Source organism: Homo sapiens, chromosome 12 (genome assembly GCF_000001405.40).
Source record: "Homo sapiens chromosome 12, GRCh38.p14 Primary Assembly".
Taxonomy (NCBI): Eukaryota; Metazoa; Chordata; class Mammalia; order Primates; family Hominidae; genus Homo; species Homo sapiens.
Genome location: NC_000012.12, coordinates 6,556,801 through 6,584,785, shown reverse-complemented (window position 1 = coordinate 6,584,785; position 27,985 = coordinate 6,556,801). Strand labels below are relative to the sequence as shown.

General features: G+C 48.0%; 2 protein-coding genes, 1 long non-coding RNA gene and 1 other non-coding gene across 11 annotated transcripts in view, besides 3 other annotated features; 3 read left to right on the top strand and 1 right to left on the bottom strand.

The window, feature by feature from the left end:
* The window catches only part of CHD4 (chromodomain helicase DNA binding protein 4), a 37,298-nt gene extending 22,594 nt beyond the window's left edge, over nt 1-14,704 (top strand). For 2 of the 3 annotated variants that reach the window (NM_001273.5, NM_001297553.2), the window contains 15 exons: nt 1,408-1,588; nt 1,673-1,759; nt 1,850-1,938; nt 2,038-2,171; nt 2,505-2,649; nt 2,972-3,137; nt 3,398-3,495; nt 3,613-3,742; nt 5,869-5,940; nt 6,240-6,377; nt 6,649-6,757; nt 6,869-7,001; nt 11,517-11,712; nt 13,754-13,917; nt 14,093-14,704. In NM_001273.5, the coding sequence (NP_001264.2) occupies nt 1,408-1,588; nt 1,673-1,759; nt 1,850-1,938; nt 2,038-2,171; nt 2,505-2,649; nt 2,972-3,137; nt 3,398-3,495; nt 3,613-3,742; nt 5,869-5,940; nt 6,240-6,377; nt 6,649-6,757; nt 6,869-7,001; nt 11,517-11,712; nt 13,754-13,917; nt 14,093-14,110 (1,860 nt within the window). In that variant the 3' untranslated portion in view covers nt 14,111-14,704. Of the gene's footprint in view, nt 1-1,407; nt 1,589-1,672; nt 1,760-1,849; nt 1,939-2,037; nt 2,172-2,504; nt 2,650-2,971; nt 3,138-3,397; nt 3,496-3,612; nt 3,749-5,868; nt 5,941-6,239; nt 6,378-6,648; nt 6,758-6,868; nt 7,002-11,516; nt 11,716-13,753; nt 13,918-14,092 lie in introns of all 3 variants that reach the window. The other variant, NM_001363606.2, reaches the window with a different exon arrangement.
* CHD4-AS1 (CHD4 antisense RNA 1) lies at nt 35-16,415 on the bottom strand. Of its 2 annotated transcripts, NR_199066.1 has the most exons (4): nt 16,084-16,415; nt 15,256-15,381; nt 6,065-6,233; nt 35-2,142 (listed from the first exon to the last, which is right to left on the bottom strand). It is a non-coding gene; the product is annotated as a CHD4 antisense RNA 1 (long non-coding RNA). The 2 variants fall into 2 exon arrangements; NR_199067.1 differs by having other exon boundaries at nt 15,256-16,415.
* On the top strand, nt 3,177-3,313 carry SCARNA11 (small Cajal body-specific RNA 11). Its single transcript, NR_003012.1, has one exon.
* Nucleotides 14,189-14,483: an enhancer, noted in NCBI's record as "tiled region #3501; K562 Activating non-DNase unmatched - State 17:Gen3', and HepG2 Activating DNase matched - State 12:CtcfO". NCBI's record gives its function as "activates a minimal TATA promoter and a strong SV40 promoter by Sharpr-MPRA in K562 cells, with weaker activation in HepG2 cells {active_cell/tissue: HepG2 | K562}" and the evidence as "EXISTENCE:reporter gene assay evidence [ECO:0000049][PMID:27701403]".
* Nucleotides 16,024-16,645: an enhancer, noted in NCBI's record as "H3K27ac hESC enhancer chr12:6677307-6677928 (GRCh37/hg19 assembly coordinates)". NCBI's record gives its function as "activates a minimal SCP1, AML or CMV promoter by ChIP-STARR-seq in primed H9 embryonic stem cells {active_cell/tissue: H9 hESC(primed)}" and the evidence as "EXISTENCE:reporter gene assay evidence [ECO:0000049][PMID:30033119]".
* Nucleotides 16,151-16,200: an enhancer, noted in NCBI's record as "active region_5867". NCBI's record gives its function as "activates an Ori minimal core promoter by ATAC-STARR-seq in GM12878 lymphoblastoid cells {active_cell/tissue: GM12878}" and the evidence as "EXISTENCE:reporter gene assay evidence [ECO:0000049][PMID:35858748]".
* Nucleotides 16,495-27,915, top strand: NOP2 (NOP2 nucleolar protein). Of its 5 annotated transcripts, none has more exons than NM_001258310.2 (17): nt 16,495-16,579; nt 16,864-16,970; nt 17,964-18,009; nt 18,169-18,257; nt 18,462-18,685; nt 20,840-20,895; nt 21,015-21,172; nt 21,272-21,471; nt 21,616-21,705; nt 22,815-22,902; nt 22,982-23,122; nt 23,716-23,855; nt 23,999-24,088; nt 24,217-24,339; nt 24,460-24,688; nt 26,649-26,770; nt 27,144-27,915. In NM_001258310.2, the coding sequence occupies exons 2-16, from the start codon at nt 16,868-16,870 to the stop codon at nt 26,756-26,758; spliced, it is 1,887 nt and encodes a 628-aa protein (NP_001245239.1). In that variant the 5' UTR covers nt 16,495-16,579; nt 16,864-16,867; the 3' UTR covers nt 26,759-26,770; nt 27,144-27,915. The 5 variants fall into 5 exon arrangements, with proteins under 5 accessions (NP_001245239.1, NP_001245238.1, NP_006161.2 ...); NM_001258309.2 differs by lacking the exon at nt 26,649-26,770 and adding an exon at nt 20,538-20,636 and having other exon boundaries at nt 18,450-18,685; NM_006170.4 differs by lacking the exon at nt 26,649-26,770.
* The last annotated feature ends 70 nt before the right edge of the window (nt 27,916-27,985 follow it).

Below are 27,985 nucleotides of genomic sequence, written 5' to 3'. Positions count from 1 at the left end.
TGTTCTTTGATTAGTGACTATAGCTGCTGTTGACTTCTTTTAAAATATTTTTAAGTTTTATTTTTAATAGATAGAATTTACATAGTTCAAAATACACAAAAGGGCCAGACACGGTGGCTCATGCCTAGAATCCCAGTACTTTGGGAGGCTGAGGCAGGAGGGTCGTTTGAGCCCAGGAGTTGGAGACCAACTTGGGCAACATGGTAAAATTCCGTCTCTAAATAATAAAAACATTAGCCGAGTGTGGTTGCTCACGCTTGTGGTCCCAGCTGCGTGGGAGGATTGCTTAAACTTGGCAGTCGAGGCTGCAGTGAGCCGTAATGACGCCACTCTACTCCAGCCTGGGCAACACAGCTAGACCCTCTCTCAAAAAAATATATATATATTTATATGTACACACACGTATCTCTTTTCTCTCCTGTCCTCTAACAATTTAGTTCCCTTCTTGGGGACAACTAATGTTTTCAGTTCCTTTTATATCTTTCCAAAAATATTTTATGTGTATACAAATTATACATATATTCATACACATATATGTACACTCACATATATGTACCCAAAGACTTTTTTTTCCTTGTAAACATAAAAGTAATACCAATGCAATGTAAATGCTACATTGGTTAGGGAATAATGACAAGAAAAAAGTCTGTAAATGTTGAGTACAGACATAATTTTGTTTTTTCTCTGAATATTTTCCATCTATGGTTGTTTGAATCCACAGGTGCGGAACCCGTGGATACAGAGGGCCGATTGTAATTTATTTAATTAGTTCCATAATGATGGGCTTTTAGGTTGTTTCTAATGTTATGCTATTAGCAGCTGTTTAATTCCAATATAAGGGATGTGGAATCAGTGAGTGGTCCTCAAGTGTCTGAAAAAAATTCACTTTTAGAGGAGTATCAACGTTTTTGGGACATAAGAGGCTATATAGAATTCTTTTCGTTCTGCAGACAGTTGGTAAGCTTTTATGAAGTTTATGAAGAATAGAAAGGCTTATAGTCATCCTCTCCTTCCTTCTCTCTTATGAAAATCTTTTACAGTACTTCAGAAGTTTCTCCATTCTGCCTTGCTAAGGCTCTGACCTCTTTTCTTTTTGCTATCTTTCAATTGTATATGCATCAGTGCAAGGGGTTAGAAGAAAGCATTCTGTCTCTTCATCCTTACCTGTGATAATAGCTCTATCCCATGTTTTTCTTGAGTTATGCTGACTGCTAATCTATATGTAATTATGAGGAGCTGTGTACTCTCAATCAAATTTCTTCTAAGTTCTTAGGTCCAAACAGGCACACCAAGTATTTAAGAGTCCAGTCATGAAAAGGAGCTAGCAGAGTGGGAACTGTGAGGACCAGGGGTAGCTGGTGGTGCTGACTTCAGCACTCCTGAGTCCTGGCCCTCCCTCTGTCCCAGGAGGAAGAGGAGGTAGAACGGGAAATCATTAAACAGGAAGAAAGTGTGGATCCTGACTACTGGGAGAAATTGCTGCGGCACCATTATGAGCAGCAGCAAGAAGATCTAGCCCGAAATCTGGGCAAAGGAAAAAGAATCCGTAAACAGGTCAACTACAATGATGGCTCCCAGGAGGACCGAGGTGTGTGTGGCCGGCCCCGCCCCCCACCCATGGGCCGTTCCACTAGAGCAGTGGGCCCCGCTCATCTGCCCTCTCTCCCTCCAGATTGGCAGGACGACCAGTCCGACAACCAGTCCGATTACTCAGTGGCTTCAGAGGAAGGTGATGAAGACTTTGATGAACGTTCAGAAGGTGAGGGCTGTGCTTTTTTTGTTGCTTTTCTAAATGTTGCTTTGTTTAATATCCTACCTGTGTCACTCATTCATCTTTTTCTTCTTGCAGCTCCCCGTAGGCCCAGTCGTAAGGGCCTGCGGAATGATAAAGATAAGCCATTGCCTCCTCTGTTGGCCCGTGTTGGTGGGAATATTGAAGTAAGTGCCATACGATTCTAAGGAGGGGTGAGTGTCAGATATTGCATCTTTGGTGGAATGCGACCTGCTGCCTCTCACCTGGGTTTCTTCTTCCCCTAGGTACTTGGTTTTAATGCTCGTCAGCGAAAAGCCTTTCTTAATGCAATTATGCGATATGGTATGCCACCTCAGGATGCTTTTACTACCCAGTGGCTTGTAAGAGACCTGCGAGGCAAATCAGAGAAAGAGTTCAAGTGAGTTGAGGGCTGGAGTGGACTGATCTAGAGCAAGGGCTTCTGCTATCTATCTGGTCATTCCATGGTTCTAGGCCTAGCCGTGCAGGGAAGTGGGCTATTTTCTCTGTTGAAGTTGGCAGGTGAAGCTGTTAGTAATGTGTTCCTAGCTTCCCTGGAAGAGAACCTGGGTCTTCTTGTGGGGTCTAGAGATCAGCCTTCCCGTGCAGTGGTGGGCTTTACCTCAAGGTGGAGCCATAGTTATTGCCTGTGATAATGCCTCACGAAGGGATGGAAAAGAATCTAAGAGTCAGCATGATCCCTATTTAACTCTTTCTCTACTTCTTTACACAGGGCATATGTCTCTCTTTTCATGCGGCATTTATGTGAGCCGGGGGCAGATGGGGCTGAGACCTTTGCTGATGGTGTCCCCCGAGAAGGCCTGTCTCGCCAGCATGTCCTTACTAGAATTGGTGTTATGTCTTTGATTCGCAAGAAGGTGAGCCCTGAGCCTCTTGCCATTGTTTCTAGGGGGCCAGGCGCAGTGGCTCACACCTGTAATCCCAGCACTTTGGGAGGCTGAGGCGGGTGGATCACTTGAGGTCAGGAGTTAGAGACTAGCCTGGTCAACATGGCGAAACCCCATCTCTACTAAAAATACAAAAATTAGCTGCACGTGGTGGCGGGCACCTGTATTCCCAGCTACTCAGAAGGCTGAGGCAGGAGAATTGCTTGAACCCGGGAGGCGGAGACTGGAAGGCCAATAGGAAAGGAGCCTGTAGCTGGAATTGGGTCTTCAACTTCTTGTCCCATTGCTACAGGTTCAGGAGTTTGAACATGTTAATGGGCGCTGGAGCATGCCTGAACTGGCTGAGGTGGAGGAAAACAAGAAGATGTCCCAGCCAGGGTCACCCTCCCCAAAAACTCCTACACCCTCCACTCCAGGGGACACGCAGCCCAACACTCCTGCACCTGTCCCACCTGCTGGTAAGTCTGCCTGTCCTATCATTTTCTGTCCCTCTCTTTTTGTCCTGGCCTATTTTTCTGCTCCCCTGTGCTCAGTTCTAACAGGGTAGTCTGGCAGGACACACAGCAATTCCCTCTCAGTTTAGGAGGGCCGTCCTAAGAATAGGGCTGGCTCTTAAAGGCACGAGAGGACAATTTAAGATGAGACAAACTGGGAAGAAATGACCTTCTCTCTGATCTAGTACCTTCTTCCTAATTGATTGTCTTTTATTGTTCTGCAGAAGATGGGATAAAAATAGAGGAAAATAGCCTCAAAGAAGAAGAGAGCATAGAAGGAGAAAAGGAGGTTAAATCTACAGCCCCTGAGACTGCCATTGAGGTAAGAGATGGGGTGACTGAATGCCATACTAAAGACAAATGTGTAAGTCCAGTCTTCCTTTTAGTTGCTGGCCTGTCTGCTTCATCTGTTTTGTTTTTGTTTTTTTTTCCTTTGAAGTGTACACAGGCCCCTGCCCCTGCCTCAGAGGATGAAAAGGTCGTTGTTGAACCCCCTGAGGGAGAGGAGAAAGTGGAAAAGGCAGAGGTGAAGGAGAGAACAGAGGAACCTATGGAGACAGAGCCCAAAGGTAAAGGTATCCACATTTTTTTTGTTTGTTTGTTTGTTTTGAGACAGTGTAGTGCTGCCGCCAGGCTGGAGTGCTGTGGCGCGATCTTGGCTTACTGCAACCTCCACCTCCCAGGTTCGAGCGATTCTCCTGCCTCACCCTCCCGAGGAGCTGGGATTACAGACAGACGCCATCATGCCCAGCTAATTTTTGTATTTTTAGTAGAGACAGGGTTTCACCATGTTGGCCAGGCTGGTCTAAATCTCCTGACCTCATGATCCACCTGCTTTTGCCTCCCAGATTGCTGGGATTACAGGCATGAGCCACTGTGCCTGGCTTTTTTTTTTTTTTTTTTTTTTTCAAAGGAGTTTTACTCGTTGCCCAGGCTGGAGTGCAATGGTGCGATCTCGGCTTACTGCAACCTCCGCCTCCTGAGTTCAAGCGATTCTCCTGCCTCAGCCTCCTGAGTAGCTGGGATTACAGGCATGTACCACCATGCTCAGCTAATTTTGTATTTTTTAGTAGAGAGGGGGTTTCTCCATATTGGTCAGGCCAGTCTCCAACTCCTAACCTCAGGTGATCCACCTGCCTTGGCCTCTCAAGGTGCTGGGATTACAGGCGTGAGCTACCATGCCTGGCCGGTATCCATATTAAGCACTACAGATCCCTGTGTGAACCATGGTCACTCGTGAATTTTTGCTGGGGCTGTAGAGATATCAGGAGGAAGCGACACACTGAAGAATCCTGCACCCTTGATTTTAGGTGGCAGGTTTTCCCCTAACTTAAGGTATCTCTTATGACTTTATTTGTTGTTGTTGTTGTTGTTGTTGTTGTTTTCGAGATGGAGTCTCACTCTGTCACCCAGGCAGGAGTGCAGTGGCACGATCTCTGCTCACTGCAACTCCCGCCTCCTGGGTTCAAGCGATTCTCCTGCCTCAGCCTCTGAGTAGCTGGGATTGCAGGCGTGCCACAACCATGCCCACGTAATTTTTTTTTTTTTTTTTTTTTTGAGACGGAGTCTCGCTTTGTCGCCCAGGCTTGAGTGCAGTGGCGCCATCTCGGCTCACTGCAAACTCCGCCTCCCGGGTTCACACCATTCTCCTGCCTCAGCCTCCTGAGTAGCTGGGACTACAGGCGCCTGCCACCATGCCCGGCTAATTTTTTGTATTTTTAGTAGAGACGGGGTTTCACCGTGTTAGCTAGGATGGTCTCCACCTCCTGACCTCGTGATCCGCCCGCTTTGGCCTCCCAAAGTGCGGGGATTACAGGCGTGAGCCACCACGCCTGGCCAAAATTTTTTTTTTTTTTTTTTTTGAGACGGAGTCTTACTCTGTCACCCAGGCTGGAGTGCAGTGGCACGATCTTGGCTCACTGCAACCTCCGCCTCCTGGGTTCAAGTGATTCTCCTGCCTCAGTCTGCTGAGTAGCCACCATGCCTGGCTAATTGTTTTTTTTGTTGTTGTTTTTTTTTTTTTTGAGATGGAGTCTTGCTCCGTCGCCCAGGCTGATGTGCAGTGCAGTGGTGTGATCTTGGCTCACTGCAACCTCCACCTCCTGGGTTCAAACAATTCTCCTGCCTCAGCCTCCTGAGTAGCTGGGATTACAGGCATGCGCCACCACGCCCGGCTAATTTTTGTATTTTAGTAGAGATGGGGTTTCACCATGTTGGCCAGGCTGGTCATGAACTCCTGACCTCAAGAGATCCACCCATCTCGGCCTCCCATAGTGCTGGGATTACAGGTGTGAGCCACCACGCCTGGCTAATTTTTGTACTTTTAGTAGAGACAGGGTTTCACCATGTTGGCCAGGCTGGTTTCTAACTCCTCACCTCAGGTGATCCACCCACCTTGGCCTCCCCAAGTGCTGGGATTACAGGCATGAGCCACCGCACCCAGCTAATTTTTGTATTTTTAATAGAGATTGGGGTTCACCTTGTTGGCCAGGCTGGTCTTGAACTCCTGACCTCAAGTGATCTGCCTGCTGCTGTCTCCCAAGATGCTGGGATTACAGGCATGAGCCACCATGCCCAGCTGACATTACTGTAATTGCAGACATTTAGATGTGGGTCTATCCAATTGGATAATAGTGTGCAACAGAGGAGAATGTTCTTCCTTTAGGTATAGTCTCAATAACATTTCTTCCCCTAGGTGCTGCTGATGTAGAGAAGGTGGAGGAAAAGTCAGCAATAGATCTGACCCCTATTGTGGTAGAAGACAAAGGTGGGTGTTTGGAGAAGTTGATTGTGGTTCAGAAGAACTCTAAAACCAGAAGCAAGGACTGTATCTGCCCTGCCTCCCTGTCCATACTCATCTAGCCATTTTATCCCAAGATAAAAGACTGTACCTGTCCCCACATTTAGTTGTCAGTGGGCCAATGGCACCATTTTCTGGGTCTGAGAGACACCCAGGTGGAGAAGGGGTGTAGGTGGATGGATTCTTGTAGCATACAGTGTTCTGGGTAAGGGCGATGGTGCTGGGCTTTGGCTGGAGCTGACATTTTTCTTCCCCATATTCTGTAGAAGAGAAGAAAGAAGAAGAAGAGAAAAAAGAGGTGATGCTTCAGAATGGAGAGACCCCCAAGGACCTGAATGATGAGAAACAGAAGAAAAATATTAAACAACGTTTCATGTTTAACATTGCAGATGGTGGTTTTACTGGTATGGAAATGAGGGGCCCACCAGGGTTAGAAGGATCTGATGTGAAATTGGGGTTCTTGTCAGAAACCACGGTACAGGGACTTTACCTCTTTACCTCTGTTTGATGAGGGAATGCCAAACTGATAGTGGGTTCTGTGGAGAAAGCCAGAAGCAAATTATATGAAATGGATCCAGGGGTAGGGGATGGTGGGGGACAAGAATAAGTAGCTTTTTCAATTCTCACAGATGTTTGCTTCCCCCCACCCCCAACCTTCCCTAAATTCCTCCTCAGAGTTGCACTCCCTTTGGCAGAATGAAGAGCGGGCAGCCACAGTTACCAAGAAGACTTATGAGATCTGGCATCGACGGCATGACTACTGGCTGCTAGCCGGCATTATAAAGTATCCTTTGCCTGAATCTGTACTGAGGCTTTTGGTGAAAGGTTCTGAAGGTCTTTTAGTTTGAGGTTCTTACTTTCCTTGTTTTGTTTTTCCTGAGCACTTTTCCAATAGCCATGGCTATGCCCGGTGGCAAGACATCCAGAATGACCCACGCTATGCCATCCTCAATGAGCCTTTCAAGGGTGAAATGAACCGTGGCAATTTCTTAGAGATCAAGAATAAATTTCTAGCTCGAAGGTTTAAGGTGAGCGGTTGGGGAGGAATATATTGCTTAAGTGACAAACTTGAAAGTGCGTAACGTCCTGCAGCAGAGGGAGTCTGTCCATCCAGCGCACTGTTCTCACTTTCTTCATTCTATGGAAGGCTTTGCTCCCAAGTAACTTACACATTAGGGTTGAAGACACACAGAATTGAAAGTTAACTAACTGTACATGAGCTGTAGGTGACTATGTGTCCAATCAGTGACACACTAGTGCAGAGGGGTTTGTTTGGGGAACACTGCAGATTGGAGTATTCAGGAAAGATATAGAGGTGGGATTGAATTGCATCTCTGAAGATGTAGAGCTATTAGTCAGTGGGCTGCTGGTTGTTTTTTTTTTTTTTTTTTTTTTGAGGCAGAATCTCTGTCGCCCAGGCTGGAATGCAGTGATGCAGCCTCTGCTCACTACAACCTCTGTGTCCTGGGTTTAAGTGATTCTCCCGCCTCAGCCTCCTGAGTAGCTGAGATTACAGGCGCCTGCCACCACACCCAGCTGTTTTTTTTGGATTTTTAGTAGAGATGGGGTTTCACCATGTTGGCTAGGCTGGTCTCAAACTCCTGACCTCGAAGTGATCCACCTGCCTTGGCCACCCAGATTGCTGGGATTATAGGCATGAGCCACCATGCCTGGCCTGGTTCTTTTTTCTGGGCTAAAAAGTGCCTGTGTGGGCCAGGTGCGGTGGCTCACGCCTGTAATCCCAGCACTTTGGGAGGCTGATGCAGGAGAATCGCTTGAAGTCGGGAGGTAGAGATTTCAGTGAGCTGAGATCGTGCTACGGCACTCCAGCCTGTGCAACAGAGTGAGACTCTGTCTCAAAAAAAAAAAAAGACGTGTCTGTTGTCTCGTACGCTGAGTATAATCGGGGAAGAAATGGTACACTAATAAGCCTTCAGGTATTATGTACTAAGCAATGATGTGCCCAGGGATAAAAAGACAAAGCATGGTATCTGTTTTCAAGGAGCTTTCAGTTTCAAGTAGGAGCACATGTGTAATCAAATGAATGCCATTCTGCATATCAGGAGAGAGATTGCTGATTGGCATAAGAAAGTTCTCCAGAATCGCTTGAACCCGGGAGGCGGAGGTTGCAGTGAGCCGAGATCGCACCACTGCACTCCAGTCTGGCGACAGAGCGAGACTCACCTCAAAAAAGACAAGAAAAGAAAGTTCTCAGAGAGGCAGACACAGTGGCTAATCTCAGCATTTAAAAGAGCTGATTGCTTGAGTCCAGGAGTTCAAGACTAGCTCGGGCAACATGGCAAAACCCCATGTCTACAAAAAATACAAAAATTAGCCAGTTCTGGTGGCGTGCACCTGTAGTTCCAGCTACTTAGGAGGCTGCAATGAGCCTAGATTGTGCCATTGCACTCCAGCCTAGGCATTGGAGTGAGACCCTGTTTTGTTTTGTTTTTTCCTGAGACAGTGTCTTGATGTGTTGCCAGGCTGGAGTGCAGTGGCAAGATCTCTGCTCACTGCAACCTCTGCCTCCCGGGTTCAAGCGATTTTCCTGCCTCAGCCTCCCGAGTAGCTGGGACAACAGGCGTGTGCCACCACGCCCAGCTAATTTTTGTATTTTTAGTAGAGACAGGGTTTCAGCATGTTGGCCAGGATGGTCTCGATCTCTTGACCTCATGTTCTGCCCGCCTCGGACTCCCAAAGTGCTGAGATAACAGGCGTGAGCCACTGTGCCCATCCAAGACCCTGTCTTAAAAAAAAAAAAAAGTTCTCGAGAGGGAATTGGAGTAGGGACGGAACTCACAAATGGCTTTATGGAGAAGATGGCATTGGAATGAAGTTTTGAAGAATGCGACGGAGATTTTTTTGGTAGAAACAGAAGGGTATCTGAACAAAGGGATTAGGTTGGGCAAAGATGTGAGCCAGCAAAGCTTAGTATGTCTGGAAATAGCAGATAGCCCAGTTGAGCTGTAGGGAAACATTTGTGTTGGGTGATGGTGGGAGGTAGGTTGGAACGAGAAAGGTGGACGGGCTAGAGGTCAGTAGGTGGGTTCTTGGCACCAGATAAGAGAGTTTGGACTTTACGCTATCGTTAATGGGCAGCCACTGAAAGTTTGTGAGCAGAGTTTTGATAGGACCAAGGGAAATGGAAACAGCATTCATAAGATTATAAAACTGTCATATAATCATGAGGTGTTAAGGGTCTGGGCTGTGATGCTGGTTGTGGAAAATGAAAAGGGTAAAGATAAAGGAAACAACACCAAAGAATTTATTGGACTTAGTGACTTACTGTAGGGGTCAGCAAACCTTTTTTTCTCCCCCCAAACCAAAAACGGTTAATAAAACCCTTTTTTTTTTTTTTTTTTTGAGACAAAGTCTTACTCAGTTGCCCAGGCTGGAGTGCAGTGGCGACATTTCCTGGCTCACTGCACCCTCTGCCTCCTGGCTTCAACCGATTCTCCTGCCTCAGCCTCCTAAGTAGGTGGGATTACAGGCATGTACCACCATGCCTGACTAATTTTTGTATTTTTAGTAGAGATGGGGTTTTGCCATATTGGCCAGGCTGGTCTCAAATTCTGGACCTCAGGTGATCTGCCCGCCTTGTCCTCCCAAAGTGCTGGGATTACAAGTGTGAGCCACTGCACCCAACCACACCTTTTCTATTAAAGGGCCAGATAGTCCCTTTGTGGGACATGTAGTCTCTGTTGCATATACTCAACTCCATCTTTGTTGTGTGAAAGCAGCCACAGGGGATACATAAATGAATAAGTTAGGATGTGTTTCAGCGTTTCATCTATGGATATTACAATTTGAATTTTGTATAATTCTCATGAAGTGGCATGAAATAGTCTTGTTTTGACTTTTTGCCAACCATTTTAAAATGTAAAACCCATTCTTAGCTCTTGAGCCATATAAAAACAGGTGGTGGGGCAGATCTGGCCCACAGGCTGTAGCTTGCCAACTCCTGACTTACTGGATTTGAGGTACAGAATGAGTGAGACTGAAAATAACATTTTGAGCCTGAGTCACTGAGAAAGTTAAATTGTCATTTAAGAAGAGAGGGAGCAGTTTGTAGAAAAGAATGATATCGAATTTTAGACAAGTCTTTTGGTATTTCTCACAAATCAGCACCCCTCCCACTACCGACCCCCATCACCATACACTAGTGGGATCAGAACCAGTGCTGAAGGTACATGTTTGAGAAGCATCAAATCATCTGCATAGAACTGCTGGCTGACACTAGGAGAGGAGAAGGGTATGAGAAATCTTCTCTTATGTTGAGTCATATGTTTTATGAATATATTTTTTAAGTAATTAAAATCTTTTCATAAATTAAGAACCAACATTCTGCCTCTTGGGATATATTTCAAAGAATCTTTAATACAGCTCCATCAGATGACATGTGCATGAGTGTTTTTGCAGTATGATTTTTGGTGGTGGGGGCCTAGAGGCAACATAAATGTTCAGCATTAGGAGAATGCATAGGTGAAACATGTATTCATATCATGGGGCATTAAACAACAGAAGCAACAAAATTCATGTGCATACAACATAAGAGTACCTTTTAAAAGGTATGTAGTGGGAGAAGAAAAAGCATTTTATAGATACAGAAAACATCATTCTGTAACTTAGAAACATACATAGGAAACAGAAACAGTTTTTAAAAACCTACACAAAAAGCCACAGTATTACTACATTAGAAAAGTTGCTTTTCAGAGGAATGGGAGTGAGATGGCGATAAGAGGAAATAAAAAACAAAAATATTTTTAAATAGCAAAATAACCCCTTTTTTTTTGAGACAGTTTCCCTCTGTCACTCAGGCTGGAGTGTAGTGGCGCGATCCTGGCTCACTGCAACCTTTGCCTCCCGGGTTCAAGCATTCTTCTGCCTCAACCTCTTGAGTAGCTGCAGTTACAGGTGCGCACTACCATACCTGGCTAATTTTTGTGTTTTTAGTAGAGACGGGGTTTTGTCATGTTGGCCAGGCTGGTCTTGAACTCCTGACCTCAAGTAATCTGCCCGCCTCAGCCTCCCAAAGTGCTGGGATTACAGGTGTGAGCCACCGTGCCCAGCCAAAACATGTTTTTGAAGAGTAGTTGATAAAGAGTAGATGATAAAAAGGAAGATGCTTAACTGTGTAACTAAATGAAAACATAATATGGGTATGTATATAGTATGATCTCAGTTATGTAAAAAACTATGCACAAAAAAACCTAAAAAGAAAAATATCAGGATGTATTTCTAGAAGGTGGGATTATCTGTTGTTAAAAATTTTTGATATTCTATTTTCTAAATTGAGTTTTTATCGCTTTTGTATAAGAGAACCTAAAGGGTAAAGAGTTTTAAAAATGAGGACATTGAAAAAGGGAAAGAAAAAAGTTACAAGGCAAAGTTAAACTACTTGGGTGTGGGAATGAGCTGTCCATGAAGTTCTTCATAGGTTCTTATTACCATCTGAAACAATGAGAGGTGAGCTGAGAGGCCAGTCAGAAGTGAGTAAAGTGAGTTATCAGTCGAACTCCCGTTTCCTCTTATCCCTTGTCCAGCTCTTAGAACAAGCTCTGGTGATTGAGGAACAGCTGCGCCGGGCTGCTTACTTGAACATGTCAGAAGACCCTTCTCACCCTTCCATGGCCCTCAACACCCGCTTTGCTGAGGTGGAGTGTTTGGCGGAAAGTCATCAGCACCTGTCCAAGGAGTCAATGGCAGGAAACAAGCCAGCCAATGCAGTCCTGCACAAAGGTAGCCAGTGGCTCCCCTGCCTCCTGCCGATTCGGCCTCCCTGATCTGACTGCATCCTAATGTACATATATTTGTTTTCAAACTTTCAGAGCTCCTTTGTCTGGGAGTTTAGGAGGTGCTAGGGATCTTTGCCATCCTTGGGAGGTTAGTATCTTAGAGGCAATCAAGGACAGTAGTTCTTTGCCTTTTTTTTTTTTTAAAGAGATGGACTCCTGGCCGGGCGCGGTGGCTCACGCCTCTAATCCCAGCACTTTGGGAGGCCAAGGCAGGTGGATCACGAGGTCAGGAGTTCGAGACCAGCCTGGCCAACATGGTGAAACCCCGTCTCTACTAAAAATAGAAAAATTAGCTGGGCATGTGGCGCAACGCACGCTTATAATCCTAGCTACTCAGGAGGCTGAGGCAGGAGAATCGCTTGGAACCCGGGAGGCGGAGTTTGCAGTGAGCCAAGATTGTGCCATTGCACAGGCTATCAGCCTGGGCAACATAGTGAGACTCCAGAAAAAAAAGAGATGGGCTCTCACCATTTTGCCCAGGTGGGTCTTGAACTCCTGGATTCAAGTGATCCTCCGGCCTCAGCCTCCTGAGTAGCTGGGACTACAAATATGTGCCACTGTACCTGGCCACCTCTTTTTTTTTTTTTTTTCTGAGATAGAGTCTAGCTCTGTTGCCCAGGCTGGAGTGCAGTGGTGTGATCTTGGCCCACCACAACCTCTGCCTCCTGGGTTCAAGCAATTCTCCTGCCTCAGCCTCCCGAGTAGCTGGGACTACAGGCATGCGCCACCACTTGTGGCTAATTTTTGTATTTTTAGTAGAGATGGAGTTTCACCATGTTGGCAAGGCTGGTCTCAAACTGACTTCAAGTGATCCACCCGCCTCCGCCTCCCAAAGTGCTGGGATTATAGGTGTGAGCCACTGTGCTCCGCCCTGGCCACCTTTTTTTTTTGGAGGTGGAATTTTGCTCTTGTTGCCCAGGCTGGGGTGCAATGGCGTGATCTCGGCTCACTGCAACCTCCGCCTCCTGTGTTCAGGTGATTCTCCTGCCTCAGCCTCCTGAGTAGCTGGGACTACAGGCATGCCCGGCTAATTTTGGGTTTTTTTGTTTGTTTTTTGAGATGGAGTTTTGCTCTTGTTGCCCAGGCTGGAGAGCAATGGCGCGATCTCAGTTCACCACAATCTCCGCCTCCCGGGTTCAAGCGATTCTCCTGCCTCAGCTTCCCAAGTTGCTGGGATTACAGGCGCCTGCCACCATGCCCAGCTAATTTTTTGTATTTTTAGTAGAGATGGGGTTTCACCATGTTGGCCAGGCTGGTCTTGAACTCCTGATCTCAGGTGATCCACCGCCTCTGCCTCCCAAAGTGCTGGGATTATAGGCATGAGCCACTGCGCCCCAGCTAATTTTGTATTTTTAGTAGAGATGGGGTTTCTCCATGTTGGTTAGCCTAGTCTTGTACTCCCGACCTCAGGTGACCCGCCTGCCTTGGCCTCCCAAAGTGCTGGGATTACAGGTGTGAGCCACTGCACCCGGCCACCTCTTTTAACTTTAAACATATTCAGGTTCTTGAGATGGAAAGCAAAGCAGAATAATACAGTGTCATTTGCGATACTTTAGAGGTAACTTCAGGTGATAAAAGATCCCTTCAAATTCTAGACCCCTTTCAACATTTTGTTTCTAATTAAAGTAAAAGGTTATGAGGAGGCGGAGGGTGAAATAAGGAAAAGAATGCTGTTATAATGGAGGTGGGGAGACAGATTCTGAAGGTAGAGAAGAGAAAAAACGAATAAGCTCAAGAAGAGGAAATACAATAATAGTAAGGGATAGTGAAGGTTTAGGTGACTTTAAAAAGCACAAAATCATGGACAGTTGGAACTGGAATATGAGGAGTAGGAATTTGAACATGGTGGAGGTCAGGTCAGATGACAGAAGACAATACATCACAGTTACTTGGTCACTGAGAAGTGATGGGGGGCTGGTCCACTAGGGTAGAGGGAGCTCAGTCTGGGCCACCACAGCTCACCACCTCTTTTTCTCCCTATGCAGTTCTGAAACAGCTGGAAGAACTGCTGAGTGACATGAAAGCTGATGTGACTCGACTCCCAGCTACCATTGCCCGAATTCCCCCAGTTGCTGTGAGGTTACAGATGTCAGAGCGTAACATTCTCAGCCGCCTGGCAAACCGGGCACCCGAACCTACCCCACAGCAGGTAGGACCATTTTCTTCTTGACACCACCTCTTCCTGCAGAACCATTCTGGAGCTTGTAACTTTGCTGTATGTCCCTAGCTTTACATACTGGGTGGGTGGCCTATCAGTGAATTCCCTTGAGATTGGGTGGATTCCTATCATCTGGAATTCTGACTCCTCGGGTCTCCTTCTCTAGGTAGCCCAGCAGCAGTGAAGATGCAGACTGATACCACCTCCACCGCTGAGCAGTGACCTTCCTCACTTTCTCTTGTCCCAGCTTCTCCCCTGGGGGCCTGAGAGACCCTCACCTTCCTTCTGCCCATCTTCCATGTTGTAAAGGAACAGCCCCAGTGCACTGGGGGAGGGGAGGGAGTGAGGGGCAGTGGTGCCCTTCCTGCAGAAGAGACATGCAGCAGTAGCGCTGGCGCCATCTGCAGGAGCTGGCGGGCTGGCCTTCTGGACCCTGGCTTCTCCCCACTGTAACGCCTGTTACACACAAACTGTTGTGGGTTCCTGCCAGGCTTGAAGAAAATGATCTGAATTTTTTCCTCCTTTTGGTTTTATTTTGTTGGTTTATTTTGTGTTTTCTTTTCTCCTTTTTGGGGGGTATTCAGAGTGGGCTGGGCCCCTGGGCGAGACACAGCTACCTCTGTTGGCATCTTTTTAATACCAGGAACCCAGCGGCTCTAGCCACTGAGCGGCTAAATGAAATAAAGTGGAAAAAAAAAAAAAGGAAAAAACCAAAAGCATAAAAAACCACAGCAAATTTCTTGATGAAAATTGAAAATAAAAGTTTCCTTGTATTTTAGTGCTCTGGTTCAGTGTGGGTGTAGGTGCAGGTGGATGAGTGTGTGCGGCAGGAGCCTGGCACCTGTATAGTTGAAAATTAAGGGCTACGTGGTGTCCTGATACCCCACTGAGTAACTGGGTTCTGTGTGTGGGTGCAGTATGTGCCTTGCCAACGTTGACTTCCACCTGTGGAAAATGAGAGGCTGCAAAACTGCGGGCACCGCCGCTTAATGGCTCTGTGACCTTGAGCAAGTTGTTTAACTTTGGTGGGATGCAGATATCTCATGTATACCTCATACGGTTGTCAAGTTAAACCAGTGAAGTACATGGAACGGTTTTAACACCTAACCACTACCTTAATGTTAGTTTCTAGGAAGGCTGAGGGGGGTTTTCTTGCTAAGTTGTGCAAAATTGGGATGCAATTTGTGGAAGAACACAGCCTCAATCCCACACCCCCGGAGGCCCGACCTAACGTCCTCCAACCTTGAAACCCTTGTAGTTCACCCCTTCTCATGTCCCAGACCAGGTCAGCCTTGCAACCCGTTGTTTCCCAACTAATTGTAGACCCACCTGAAAGCGAGTTCCGGCGAAGAGGCCCCCTGCGAATGAGGTGCAGTGCAGCACCTTAATTGAGGGGCTGAGCAGGGGTCAGCATCAAGGAAGGTGCTGGGAGGGCGGGGCACGGTGGCTCACAGCCTGTAATCTCAGCACAAAGGTGGGGGCAGGAGGATCGCTTAAGCCCAGGAGTTCTAGACCAGCCCTGGCAATATAGTGAGACGCCACCCCCTACAACCCGTCTCTATAAAAAGATTTTTAAAAAAGGGGCAAAGAGGAGGAGGTAAGTGGCATGGAATTCCACGGTTTTTTTTGTTTGTTTGTTTTGAGATGGAGTCTCGCTTTGTTGCCAGGCTGGAGTACAGTGGCGCGATCTCAGCTCACTGCAACCTCCCCCTCCCGGGTTCAAGCGATTCTCCTGCCTCAGCCTCCCGAGTAGCTGGGACTACACGCGTGCGCCAGCCACCATGCCCAACTAATTTTTGTATTTTTAATAGAGACAAGGTTGGCCAAGATGGTCTCGGATTTCTTGACCTCGTGATCCGCCCGCCTCGACCTCCCAAAGTGCTGGGATTACAGGCGTGAGCCACCGAGCCCGGCTGGTTTTTTTGTTTTTTTTTTTTGAGGTGGAGTTTCGCTCTTGGTGAGGCTTAAGTGGCACGATCTCGGCTTACTGCAACCTCCGCCTCCCGGGCTCAAGCAATTCTGCCTCAGCCTCTCGAGTAGCTGGGATTATAGGCGCCCGCCACCACGCCCGGCTAATTTTGTATTTTTAGTAGAAGCAGGGTTTCACCATATTGGCCAGGCTGGTCTCGAACTCCTGACCTCAAGTGATCCACCCACCTCAGCCTCCCAAAGTGCTGGGATTACAGGCGTGAGCCACTGCGCCCAGCCTGGAATTCCGTGATCTTGACGCTGGACTAGGGCAGTGGATGCGAGGGAGAGGGCTCCAATGTCGGGCCCTGGTTCGAGGAGAAGGTGCGGCTTTCACCCAACAGAAACCGGCCGTGAGGCTAAAAGCCAACTCCATGAGGGAAGGTCGGTCAAGCTCAATGGTTTCGTCACATTGCTCCCTCCACCCGCCGCGGGTGTAAGCTGCGCGTCTCCTTCGAATTGCCCCCTACTCGCCGCCGCCGGCTCCGCTGGCGTTCCCAGGGCGAGCGTAAGTTCCGGGTGCGGCGGCCGACTAGGCGCAACAGGAAGAGGCGGGGCCGCGAGGCTAGCGCTACCCGTGCGCCTGCGTGGAACGATTCTGTGGCGAGTGCCGGCCGAAAGCTAGGTCCGGATTGCACGTGGAGGGCCGCCCGAAGGGCACTCTCGGACATTAACCCGCATTCTGGTGGGTCTAGAGGAAATTGGGGGACGAAGAGTGGCAGCACTGACCTGGTCTGGGACGTGGGGAGAAGGGTGCGCTACCTGGGTTTCAGGTGGGAGGGCGTTCGGTCGGGCCTCCAGGGGGATAGCGGGGGTGCTTGAGTCGCGGGTGCTGAGTCGGGAGTGCTGAGTGAGTTGCGGGTGCTGAGTTGAGGCTGTGCCCTTTCCCACTATAATACGCCAAGCGTGCGTTCTGCCGTTCCCTCCGACACGCGCGACGCCACCTTCTCCCATTTCTGCCTGCCACAGTACCATGGGGCGCAAGTTGGACCCTACGAAGGAGAAGCGGGGGCCAGGCCGAAAGGCCCGGAAGCAGAAGGGTGCCGAGACAGAACTCGTCAGATTCTTGCCTGCAGGTAAGGATTAGTTGTGGCCTCCTGATCCCTCAGCTTTTGCAGTATTCTGTATTATAACCTCTTCTCTTTTTTAGTTTCTGTTCATTTTATATTTAAGTGGAATCTTCTCTGTATGAGTTACTAGGAGGTATGAATGAAACAGCCGTTTAGATTGTAGGGAACTGTTTAGGTCGTAGAGATGTGAAGACACGGACACAACTATTATTCATGCAAGGGAAAAGTGTGATTTAAAACAATTGTGAGTTCAGAGGAAGGGGGAGCCCATGCAGAACTGTAAAAGTTTTTGTTAAGCTGGGTTTTGAAAAATGGGTAACATTGTAGCAAGAGGAAGTAGTGAAGGGGAGGGGTCAGTCACTGATTTGCCTTTTGGAAGGGGTGGAAATGGAAAAGCACGGATCTGGCTGCTTCATGCCGAGTAGTAGTATACTGTGTGGAAGACTGGTGGGAGGTAACACTGGACCGGGAGTTTGTGTTGGGCATTGGATAAAGGATGCAGTTTATTGAGATAGTAGGAAGTCCTGGGCACTGTATTAAACTTGTTGGTCATGTTATATCGCTTAATCATCTTAGAGTCCTGTGAGAGAGGCACTATTAAGGAAACACTTTGGGAGGCCGAGGCAGGTGGATCACCTGAGGTCCAGTGTTCGAGACCAGCCTGGCCAACATGGTGAAACCCTGTCTTTACTAAAAATACAACAATTAGCTGGGTGTGGTGATGGGAGGCTGAGGCAATAGAATCGCTTGAATCTGGGAGAAGGAGGTTGCAGTGAGTTGAGATCACGCCATTGCACTCCAGCCTGGAAGACAAGAGTGAAACTCCATTTCAAAAAAAAAAAAGAAACTTGTATACAGTTATTAAATAATAACAGGGCTGAGATTTAAATGGACTCCTTTTAATTAGTGTACTAATTCTCTTACCATGTTTATTTCCGTTCCCATTTATTTTTAATGTCCCCTGTAACTTGTTCTGCCTCGTTTTTCTTTTTTAAACAGTAAGTGACGAAAATTCCAAGAGGCTGTCTAGTCGTGCTCGAAAGAGGTAAGTGTGGGTGTCAAAACTTAAGTAGGTTAAATTGGTACTGCTCATCTTTGACCACAGAGTTAATTCTAGACTCTCACATTTCCCTATGGTGGAAATGGCAGAGCCTGGAAGTATCTTCCCATTTCTTCACTCCTTGAATCTCTTGTGTCTTTTCAGGGCAGCCAAGAGGAGATTGGGCTCTGTTGAAGCCCCTAAGACAAATAAGTCTCCTGAGGCCAAACCATTGCCTGGAAAGCTACCAAAAGGTCCGTGAAACTAAGAGCTGGATGCTACATGAGGAGTCCCTTTGGGTCCTGGGTAGGGAAGAACTCGCTAAACATTTCCGGAGTGAAAGGAACAGCCAAAGGACATTCTGAGGGGTAGAAAGTACAGGCTCCCAGGGTGTGGGGCCAGGGAATGTGTGGCTGCCATTAGTCCAGGACTCTTCAAACCCTTAGGGATCTCTGCAGGAGCTGTCCAGACAGCTGGTAAGAAGGGACCCCAGTCCCTATTTAATGCTCCTCGAGGCAAGAAGCGCCCAGCACCTGGCAGTGATGAGGAAGAGGAGGAGGAAGACTCTGAAGAAGATGGTATGGTGAACCACGGGGACCTCTGGGGCTCCGAGGACGATGCTGATACGGTAGATGACTATGGAGCTGACTCCAACTCTGAGGATGAGGAGGAAGGTGAAGCGGTGAGATTCATCTTTTTGGGCATTCATAGAAGGATCCTTGCTATTTAGTTTCTTTCCCAGATTCTTGAGACTGTTTCTTAGTGGCAAGGATAAGCCTGACTAGAGGAAAGGGGTTTTTGTGCTCCATCACTGTTTCCCTACTGCCTTATATCCTCCCAGTGCACTACAAGTTTGAAAGAGCTGTAGGATAGAGCATTTAAAAAAATCTAGAAGGCTGTCTTGGTGTAGGTATGGGAAGGTGGACAATGGTGTGCTCCACTGATGGGCACAGAAATGCACTTTTTATAAAGCAGTTATCTCAGAACTTTGAAAAATTTGTTCCTTTTGGCTGGGTATGGTGCCTCACATCTGTAATCCCAGCACTTTGGGAGGCTGAGGCAGGAGGATTGCTTGAGCCCAGGAATTGGAGACCAGCTTGGGCAACATAGGGAGATCCCGTATCTACAAAAAATTAAAAAATTGGCCTGGCACAGTGGCTCATGCCTATAATCCTAGCACTTTGGGAGGCCAAGGTGGGCGGATCACCTGAGCTCCGGAGTTCGAGACCAGCCTGGACAATATGGCGAAACCCCATCCCTACTAAAAATATGAAAATTAGCTGGTGTGGTGGTATATGCCTGTAATCCCAGCTACCTGGGAGGCTGAGGCAGGAAAATTGCTTGAACCTGTGAGGCGGAGATGGCAGTGAGCCGAGATCATGCCATTGCACTCCAGCCTGGGCAACAAAGTGAGACTCTGTCTCAAAAAAAAAAAAAGTTAAGTTAAAAAATGGTTTAAAAATTAGCTGGGTGTGGTGGCGTACGCCTGTAGTCCCAGCTTCTCAGGATGCTGAAGCGGGAAGATGACTGGAGCTTGGGAGGTTGAGGCTGCAGTGAGCTGTGATCTTACCACTGCACTCCAGCTTGGGTGACAGAGTGAGACTGTCTCAAAAAAAAAAAAAAAAAATAACTGCTTCCTTTTGACATAGTAATTCCCTATTAAGGAAGATGATCCAAAATGTCAGCAAATAGTTCTTTACTGAGGTGCAGGAAGTTATTATACAATTAGTGTGTGGATGTATTATTAGAATCGTATAGAATAAAAAGAGAAGGTCCCCATGTGCACCCCCTTCCTACATCCCCTTGTATCTACAGGGTCATTATTAGGTTTGCAGGCACCATGTGGATCATAATGCCAAAAACTCAGGAAACTTCCAAAATACACAATATGCTTAAGTAAGTTATGGTTCATGCATATGATGCAGTTACACTGGTCATTATGTCTATGAAAATGCCTGTGATGTAACTGAAGTCTAAAAAGCAAGAAACAAACTTGAAAATGGATTATGTGAAAAATACAGAGTAAGTAAAAAAAAAAAAAAAACGACAAAATGGGCCAGGCACGGTGGCTCACACCTGTAATCCCAGCACTTTGGGAGGCCGAGGTGGGCGGATCACCTGAGGTCAGGAGTTCAAAACCAGCTTGGCCATCATGGTGAAACCCCATCTCTGCTAAAAATACAAAAAATTAGCTGGGCATGGTGGTGCGCGCCTATAATCCCAGCTACTTGGGAGGCTGAGGCAGGAGAATCATTTGAACCTGGGAGGCGGAGGTTGCAGTGAGCCAAGACGCGCCATTGCACTCCAGCCTGGGGGACAAGAGCGAGACTTCTCTCAAAAAAAATATGGCAGAATGGTAGTCAAGGGCCATTTTTGTCCTTCTTTATACATCCAGGTATTTTTCAAGTTTTTTTTTTTTCTTAATGGAAAAGTGAAAAACATAATAGTAGAAAGAAAAATGTAATGAACCCTTTAATTTATTACTTAGGTTTTTTTTTTTTTTTTTTGAGATGAAGTCTTTCTCTGTTGCCCAGGCTGGAGTGCAGTGGCTCGGTCTTGGCTCACTGCAACCTCCACCTCCCGGGTTCAAGCAATTCTCCTGCCTCAGCTTCCCAAGTAGCTGGGATTTACAGGTGTGTGCCACCATGCCCTCATTACTTAGTTTCAACAGTGAGCAATGCTGCGCCCATCTTATTTTCATTTCTTTGCTCCTCTATTTCCTTCTGAGAGCAAGTGTTGGATTTTTATTTAGCGAAAAAATAAGATATAGAGATAGAACTGCTACAAGGGCTGATGGAAGGGCAGGCCTGTATTAATAGCCCTTGTCTCTCTTCAGTTGCTGCCCATTGAAAGAGCTGCTCGGAAGCAGAAGGCCCGGGAAGCTGCTGCTGGGTGAGTTTTGGAAGCTATTGGGATGGAGCATAGGAAGCCACTGGGGTGGGGAAGCTGTGAGGAAGGAGGAGGTATCTGTTTTGGTCTGTGAATCACTCTGTTCCTGGACCTGTTTCTAGGATCCAGTGGAGTGAAGAGGAGACCGAGGACGAGGAGGAAGAGAAAGAAGTGACCCCTGAGTCAGGCCCCCCAAAGGTGGAAGAGGCAGATGGGGGCCTGCAGATCAATGTGGATGAGGAACCATTTGTGCTGCCCCCTGCTGGGGAGATGGAGCAGGATATCCTTGCAGGGCAGAGTGAAGAGTTAGGAGGAAGGTGGTTGGGAGAGGGATTTCCAGGCCTTAGGACATCATGACACAGTTCCTTAACAGGCCCACATGCCCAGGCTCCAGACCTGCAACGAGTTCACAAGCGGATCCAGGATATTGTGGGAATTCTGCGTGATTTTGGGGCTCAGCGGGAGGAAGGGCGGTCTCGTTCTGAATACCTGAACCGGCTCAAGAAGGATCTGGCCATTTACTACTCCTATGGAGACTTCCTGCTTGGCAAGCTCATGGACCTCTTCCCTCTGTCTGAGGTACTGGATTGCCAGAATGCCTCTTTTGCTTTTCTTTTCTCGCCTCCTTACGCTGTGTAAGGAAGATGTTCGGCCCCCTTGCTCCCCTCTTCTGACTGAGCTCCTTAGCCAGCCTCACTTATTCCCTGCTGTCTTGCCCCGCAGCTGGTGGAGTTCTTAGAAGCTAATGAGGTGCCTCGGCCCGTCACCCTCCGGACCAATACCTTGAAAACCCGACGCCGAGACCTTGCACAGGTGAGGGGTGGCCTTTGAGGCTCACTCATCTCAGAAGGGAAGTGACTTCTGCCAACTCCAGAGATTCCTCTGTGCTACCCTGACTGGGTGGGGCCTTAGGACCTAAGCATGATCCTGGGGGGGCAAACCCAGAGGCCTGATGTCTCTGGCAGGATAGGATCTGGGGGCCTAGGACCTCTGTGGAATGGGAAGTTCATACTCTGCTCCCTGTGACTAGGATGATGAGACTTCAGGATGAGCGTGCTGCCCCCAAGGAAATTGGAGGGAGATCATTGAGGAGCTGGGGAAATATGATTCCTGACTGCACAAAAAAGACACATATGCACAGTCAATATTTTAAACTCATTTCCAAGGGTTCAGGGGCCCCAGGTTAAAGACCCCTGTTGTAAAGTCAGTTGTTGGGTTATATGTGTTGTATATTTCCTGGTGTGAAGAAAACCTAATAATGTAATGTGGTATAACCAATGTCATTAAATTTTTAGTATAGTGGAGGGGCTCAGCCTCTTAGAAAATCAGATGCCACTTCTAGGAAATAAAGTAACAGGAGGTGGCATCCTGCTCCATTGGGATGAAGTTCAGATCTTGAGTTAGGAGCCTGAGGTTAAGAAAAAAGGGCACCATAGGATGGAGTGGGAGAGAGAAACTGCTCAATGACTCCATGATGACTGTGTTTGGAGTAAGCACTATAGGAGTTGTGGGGTATGGGCCATGTTTTTATGAAGCATGTGTTTAATGTCTTCATCTGTCTTCTGGGTAGAGTAGCCTATGAGGTTATTAAAATCTTCATCCCTACCGGGCGCGGTGACTCAACGCCTGTAATCCCAGCACTTTGGGAGGCCGAGGCGGGCAGATCACCTGAGGTCAGGAGTTAGAGACCAGCCTGGCCAACATGGTGAAACCCCATCCTATGAAAAATACAAAAATTAGCCAGGCATGGTGGTACATGCCCGTTGTCCCAGCTACTCAGGAGGCTGAGGCACGAGAGAATCGCTTGAATCTGGGAGGTGGAGGTTGCTGTGAGCCGAGATTGCGCCACCTCACTCTAGCCTGGGCAACAGAGTGAGACTCCATCTCAAAAAAAAAAAAAAAAAATCTTCATCCCTTTTCAGGCTCTAATCAATCGTGGGGTTAACCTGGATCCCCTGGGCAAGTGGTCAAAGACTGGACTAGTGGTGTATGATTCTTCTGTGCCCATTGGTAAGTCTCCCCCACCCAAGAGCCCTTCTACCTCTGTCCCTGTCCCTACCGCATGTCACAGGGTGGTCCTTCTCCACAGGTGCTACCCCCGAGTACCTGGCTGGGCACTACATGCTGCAGGGAGCCTCCAGCATGTTGCCCGTCATGGCCTTGGCACCCCAGGAACATGAGCGGATCCTGGACATGTGTTGTGCCCCTGGAGGAAAGACCAGCTACATGGGTATGAGAGGGGCAGGCAGGTGGGATTCATCGGGCTGTCTTGCTTTTGAAAGTAGATGGGGTTGCTGGGGTTGCTGACTCACTAGTGCTCATGGAACACAATGTGCAGGTAGCTAGCAGGGTGGTGAGGACCAGTTTCTGGAGTCGGCCTGGGTTCCAGTGTGCCACTTACTACCCATCTGACTATGGATTCTCTTTTGTCATCCATAAAATGGGATGGTAATTGTGCTTGGGTTGGCCCTTGTATTACGCTTGGATTGTGAGGGTTAAAATGATGCGTTTAGAAGTCCTTGGCAGTGTTCAGCACATAGTCAGCAGCCATAACTTTTATTAAGCTGCTGTCACTTAAAAGAAGTAATTTAGTATGTAGGACCACATAGGTGTTTGGTAAAAATGGGAAAACCACATCGGTAGACTTGCCGATCACCAGGGGCTAGTGCAGAGTGGATCAGCCTATACAGTAGGCAGGCTTGTTGGGAGCGAAGTTGCCTTGAGGTGATGACACTTCTCATGTGGATTCCTGGACAGGAGGGTGGGAGCAAGTGTGGAGACAGTGGAACTGGCTGATCAGCACTGTTACTGCCCTCTCTTTAGCCCAGCTGATGAAGAACACGGGTGTGATCCTTGCCAATGACGCCAATGCTGAGCGGCTCAAGAGTGTTGTGGGCAACTTGCATCGGCTGGGAGTCACCAACACCATTATCAGCCACTATGATGGGCGCCAGTTCCCCAAGGTGAGACTCGAGCTGTGTGTCTTCTGAGGCTTCTTCCGGTTGACCTTCTCCCTTCCTGACCTCAATGTTTAGACTCGACCCTAGTAAATATTGCCCTGCTGGTTGCAGAAGAGACATATGATTCATCTGTATCTTTTCTCCAGGTGGTGGGGGGCTTTGACCGAGTACTGCTGGATGCTCCCTGCAGTGGCACTGGGGTCATCTCCAAGGATCCAGCCGTGAAGACTAACAAGGTGAGGAGTCAGGTGGTGGGCCCCTGAGAGGCCTTGGCTGGGTCTCGTAGAGCTGGAAACTGAGATGGGGACACCCTCTGGGCTCCCCTCTCCTCCTGAGGCTGCCTTTGGGTCTCTTTTTGGGACAGGATGAGAAGGACATCCTGCGCTGTGCTCACCTCCAGAAGGAGTTGCTCCTGAGTGCTATTGACTCTGTCAATGCGACCTCCAAGACAGGAGGCTACCTGGTTTACTGCACCTGTTCTATCACAGTGAGACCTCTGCCATGGCAGAGCAGGGGAGGCTGGGCTGGGGGGCTCTTTGCCCCTTAGAGCTCCCTTCAGCTCCAGCTCTGCTTTTTCCTCCGTTCTTTGTCTTCCCCCCACATCCAGGTAGAAGAGAATGAGTGGGTGGTAGACTATGCTCTGAAAAAGAGGAATGTGCGACTGGTGCCCACGGGCCTAGACTTTGGCCAGGAAGGTTTTACCCGCTTTCGAGAAAGGCGCTTCCACCCCAGTCTGCGTTCTACCCGACGCTTCTACCCTCATACCCACAATATGGATGGGTTCTTCATTGCCAAGTTCAAGAAATTTTCCAATTCTATCCCTCAGTCCCAGACAGGTAAGTAATCTTTTTCTTCCCTTCGTCACCACCTTTGCTCTTTCCACCTTTCAGGAGGCTTTATGGTGTGACAAGAGGAAGGGAAAGGAAAGATTCATGCATCCCTTACTCCAGCCTTTGCATGCTTGGCTGAGAGAACCCTCTCATTCCAGCTAGAATTGCTTTTGAGTGCTGGACCCCATGTGAACAGGCTAAAGTGTTCATATGGATGGAGGCCTGTTCCTTTATTCTGCCAAGTGGCTGCAGTTGTTCAGCACTAAATGCATTCCAAATGCAGGTTGTGGTTTCTTTTCCTTCTTGGCACAGGGTGGACTTACTGGTACTGGACCTCTGCTGGTCCAGCAATCTCAGCACTGGGTTGGAACAGAGCTCCACAGAGCTTTGTCAGCAGTTCTCTGAGCCCTTCACACTCATTGCAGATTGTTTTCTCAGCCATCTTGAGGAGTCTGGCCTGGATCTCAAGGGAAGGGTGGGGTTTTCTGAAACAGCCTTGAGAGCACTGCTTACTGGGATATAACCCTGGGTTTAGTTGGAAGAGGGAGAGAAGTGCTACTTTAGAAATAGTAGAATTTGTCTGGGCGTGGTGGCTCATGCCTGTAATCCCAGCACTCACCTGAGGTCAGGAATTCGACACGGTGAAACCCTGTCTCTACTAAAAATATAAGAATTAGCTGGGTGTGGCCAGGCACGGTGGCTCACGCCTGTAATCCCAGCACTTTGGGAGGCCAAGACGGGTGGATCACGAGGTCAGGAGATCGAGACCATCCTGGCTAACACAGTGAAACCCCCATCTCTACTAAAAATATAAAAAATTAGCTGAGCTTGGTGGTGGGCGCCTGTAGTCCCAGCTACTCGGGAGGCTGAGGCAGGAGAATGGCATGAACCCGGGAGGCGGAGCTTGCAGTGAGCTGAGATTGTGCCACTGCACTCCAGCCTGGGCGACAGAGTGAGACTCCGTCTCCAAAAAAAAAAATTAGCTAGGTGTGGTGGTACGTGCCTGTAGTCCCAACTACTCAGGAGGCTGAGGCAGGAGAATCACTTGAACCTGGGAGGTGGAGGTTGCAGTAAGCCGAGATCACGCTATTGCATTTCAGCCTGGGCAACGAGCAAAACTCCATCTCAAAAAAAAGGAATAGTAAAATTTGCTATAACTTAAAAAGTACATATTTTAATTATCCCGCACTTCATCACAATTCACATGGAAAGAAACTTCTCTGATTTAAAAAATAAATAGGCCAGGTGTGGTGATGGCTCATGCCTATAAATCCCAGTACTTTGGGAGGCTGAGGTGGGAAGATTGCTTAAGACCACGAGTTTGAGACCTGTCTGGGCAACAAAGGGAGACAGTAGTTCCAGCTACTCTGGAGGCTGAGGTAGGAGGATCCCTTGAGCCCCAGGAGTTTGAGGTTGCAGTGAGCTATGATGGCACCACTGTACTCCAGCCTGGGCAACACAGTGAGACTCTACCTCAAAAAAAAAAAAAAAAAGATAAATAAAGCCTAGTGCTTCAAATTCATTTAGAAGACCCTGCGAGGCCGGGCGTGGTGGCTCGCGCCTGTAACCCCAGCACTTTGGGTGGCTGAGGCAGGTGGATCACCTGAGGTCAGGAGTTCAAGACCAGCTGGTCAACATGGTGAAACCTCATCTCTACTAAAAATACAAAAATTAGCCGGACATGGTGGCGCACGGTTGTGATTGTCCGGAGGCTGAGGCAGGAGAATTGCTTGAACCCAGGAGGCAGAGGTTGCAGTGAGCCGAGATCACACCACTGCACTCCAGCCTGGGTGACAGAGTGAGATTCCATCTCAAAAAAAGAAAAAAAAAACCCCAAAACCCTGAGAATCACCTCTTCCTTACAGCATCTTGTTACTTCCTGTCCTCAAGAGGGCGCAGCTTCCTGTAGAAACCTTTTGGCCCAAGGATAGGCAGTGATTTTTTTTTTTTTTTTTTTTTTTTTGAGACGGTGTCTTGCTTTGTCGCTCAGGCTGGACTGCAGTGGTGCAATCTCAGCTCATTGCAACCTCCACCTTCCAGGTTCAAGCGATTCTTGTGCCTCAGACTCCCAAGTAGCTAGGATTACAGGTGTGTACCACCATCCCTGGCTAATTTTTGTATTTTTAGTAGAGATGGTTTCACCATGTGGGCTAGGCTGGTCTTGAACTCCTGGCCTCAAGCAATCCACTTGCCTTGGCCTCCCAAAGTGCTGGAATTACAGGTGTGAGCCACCACGCCTGGCCTATAGGCAGTGATCTTTTAATACAAGGTTCAACTAGGACTTGAGTAAAGGCCAAGTTATATTAAGTAATGGGAATTTAGGTAATCTGCTCTTAGGCACTGACCTAATTGTGTGGAGCTCCTGCCCAGGAAATGGCAATTCTCATATTTTAATATGAGAATATTAAAATATGGTGATAAGGCCCATTTTCTGACACCATCTGTTTAATTTTAACCCCAGGAAATTCTGAAACAGCCACACCTACAAATGTAGACTTGCCTCAGGTCATCCCCAAGTCTGAGAACAGCAGCCAGCCAGCCAAGAAAGCCAAGGGGGCTGCAAAGACAAAGCAGCAGCTGCAGAAACAGCAACATCCCAAGAAGGCCTCCTTCCAGAAGCTGAATGGCATCTCCAAAGGGGCAGACTCAGAATTGTCCACTGTACCTTCTGTCACAAAGACCCAAGCTTCCTCCAGCTTCCAGGATAGCAGTCAGCCAGCTGGAAAAGCCGAAGGGATCAGGGAGCCAAAGGTGACTGGGAAGCTAAAGCAACGATCACCTAAATTACAGTCCTCCAAGAAAGTTGCTTTCCTCAGGCAGAATGCCCCTCCCAAGGGCACAGACACACAAACACCGGCTGTGTTATCCCCATCCAAGACTCAGGCCACCCTGAAACCTAAGGACCATCATCAGCCCCTTGGAAGGGCCAAGGGGGTTGAGAAGCAGCAGTTGCCAGAGCAGCCTTTTGAGAAAGCTGCCTTCCAGAAACAGAATGATACCCCCAAGGGGCCTCAGCCTCCCACTGTGTCTCCCATCCGTTCCAGCCGCCCCCCACCAGCAAAGAGGAAGAAATCTCAGTCCAGGGGCAACAGCCAGCTGCTGCTATCTTAGATGGTTGAAAACTAGACGGGTGGCTCACTGCCATTGTCACCAGGTTGGAACTCTTGCCTCTGTGAGGATGCCTTCTCTACTGTGCATACCCATGAAATTTAATACACATTTTAAAACCTCTGGCCACTGAGTATTTTTGAGGGAACTGGGTGCTGCCTTTGCCGCTTTAAGGGTAAAGATGGGAGGTGGGAC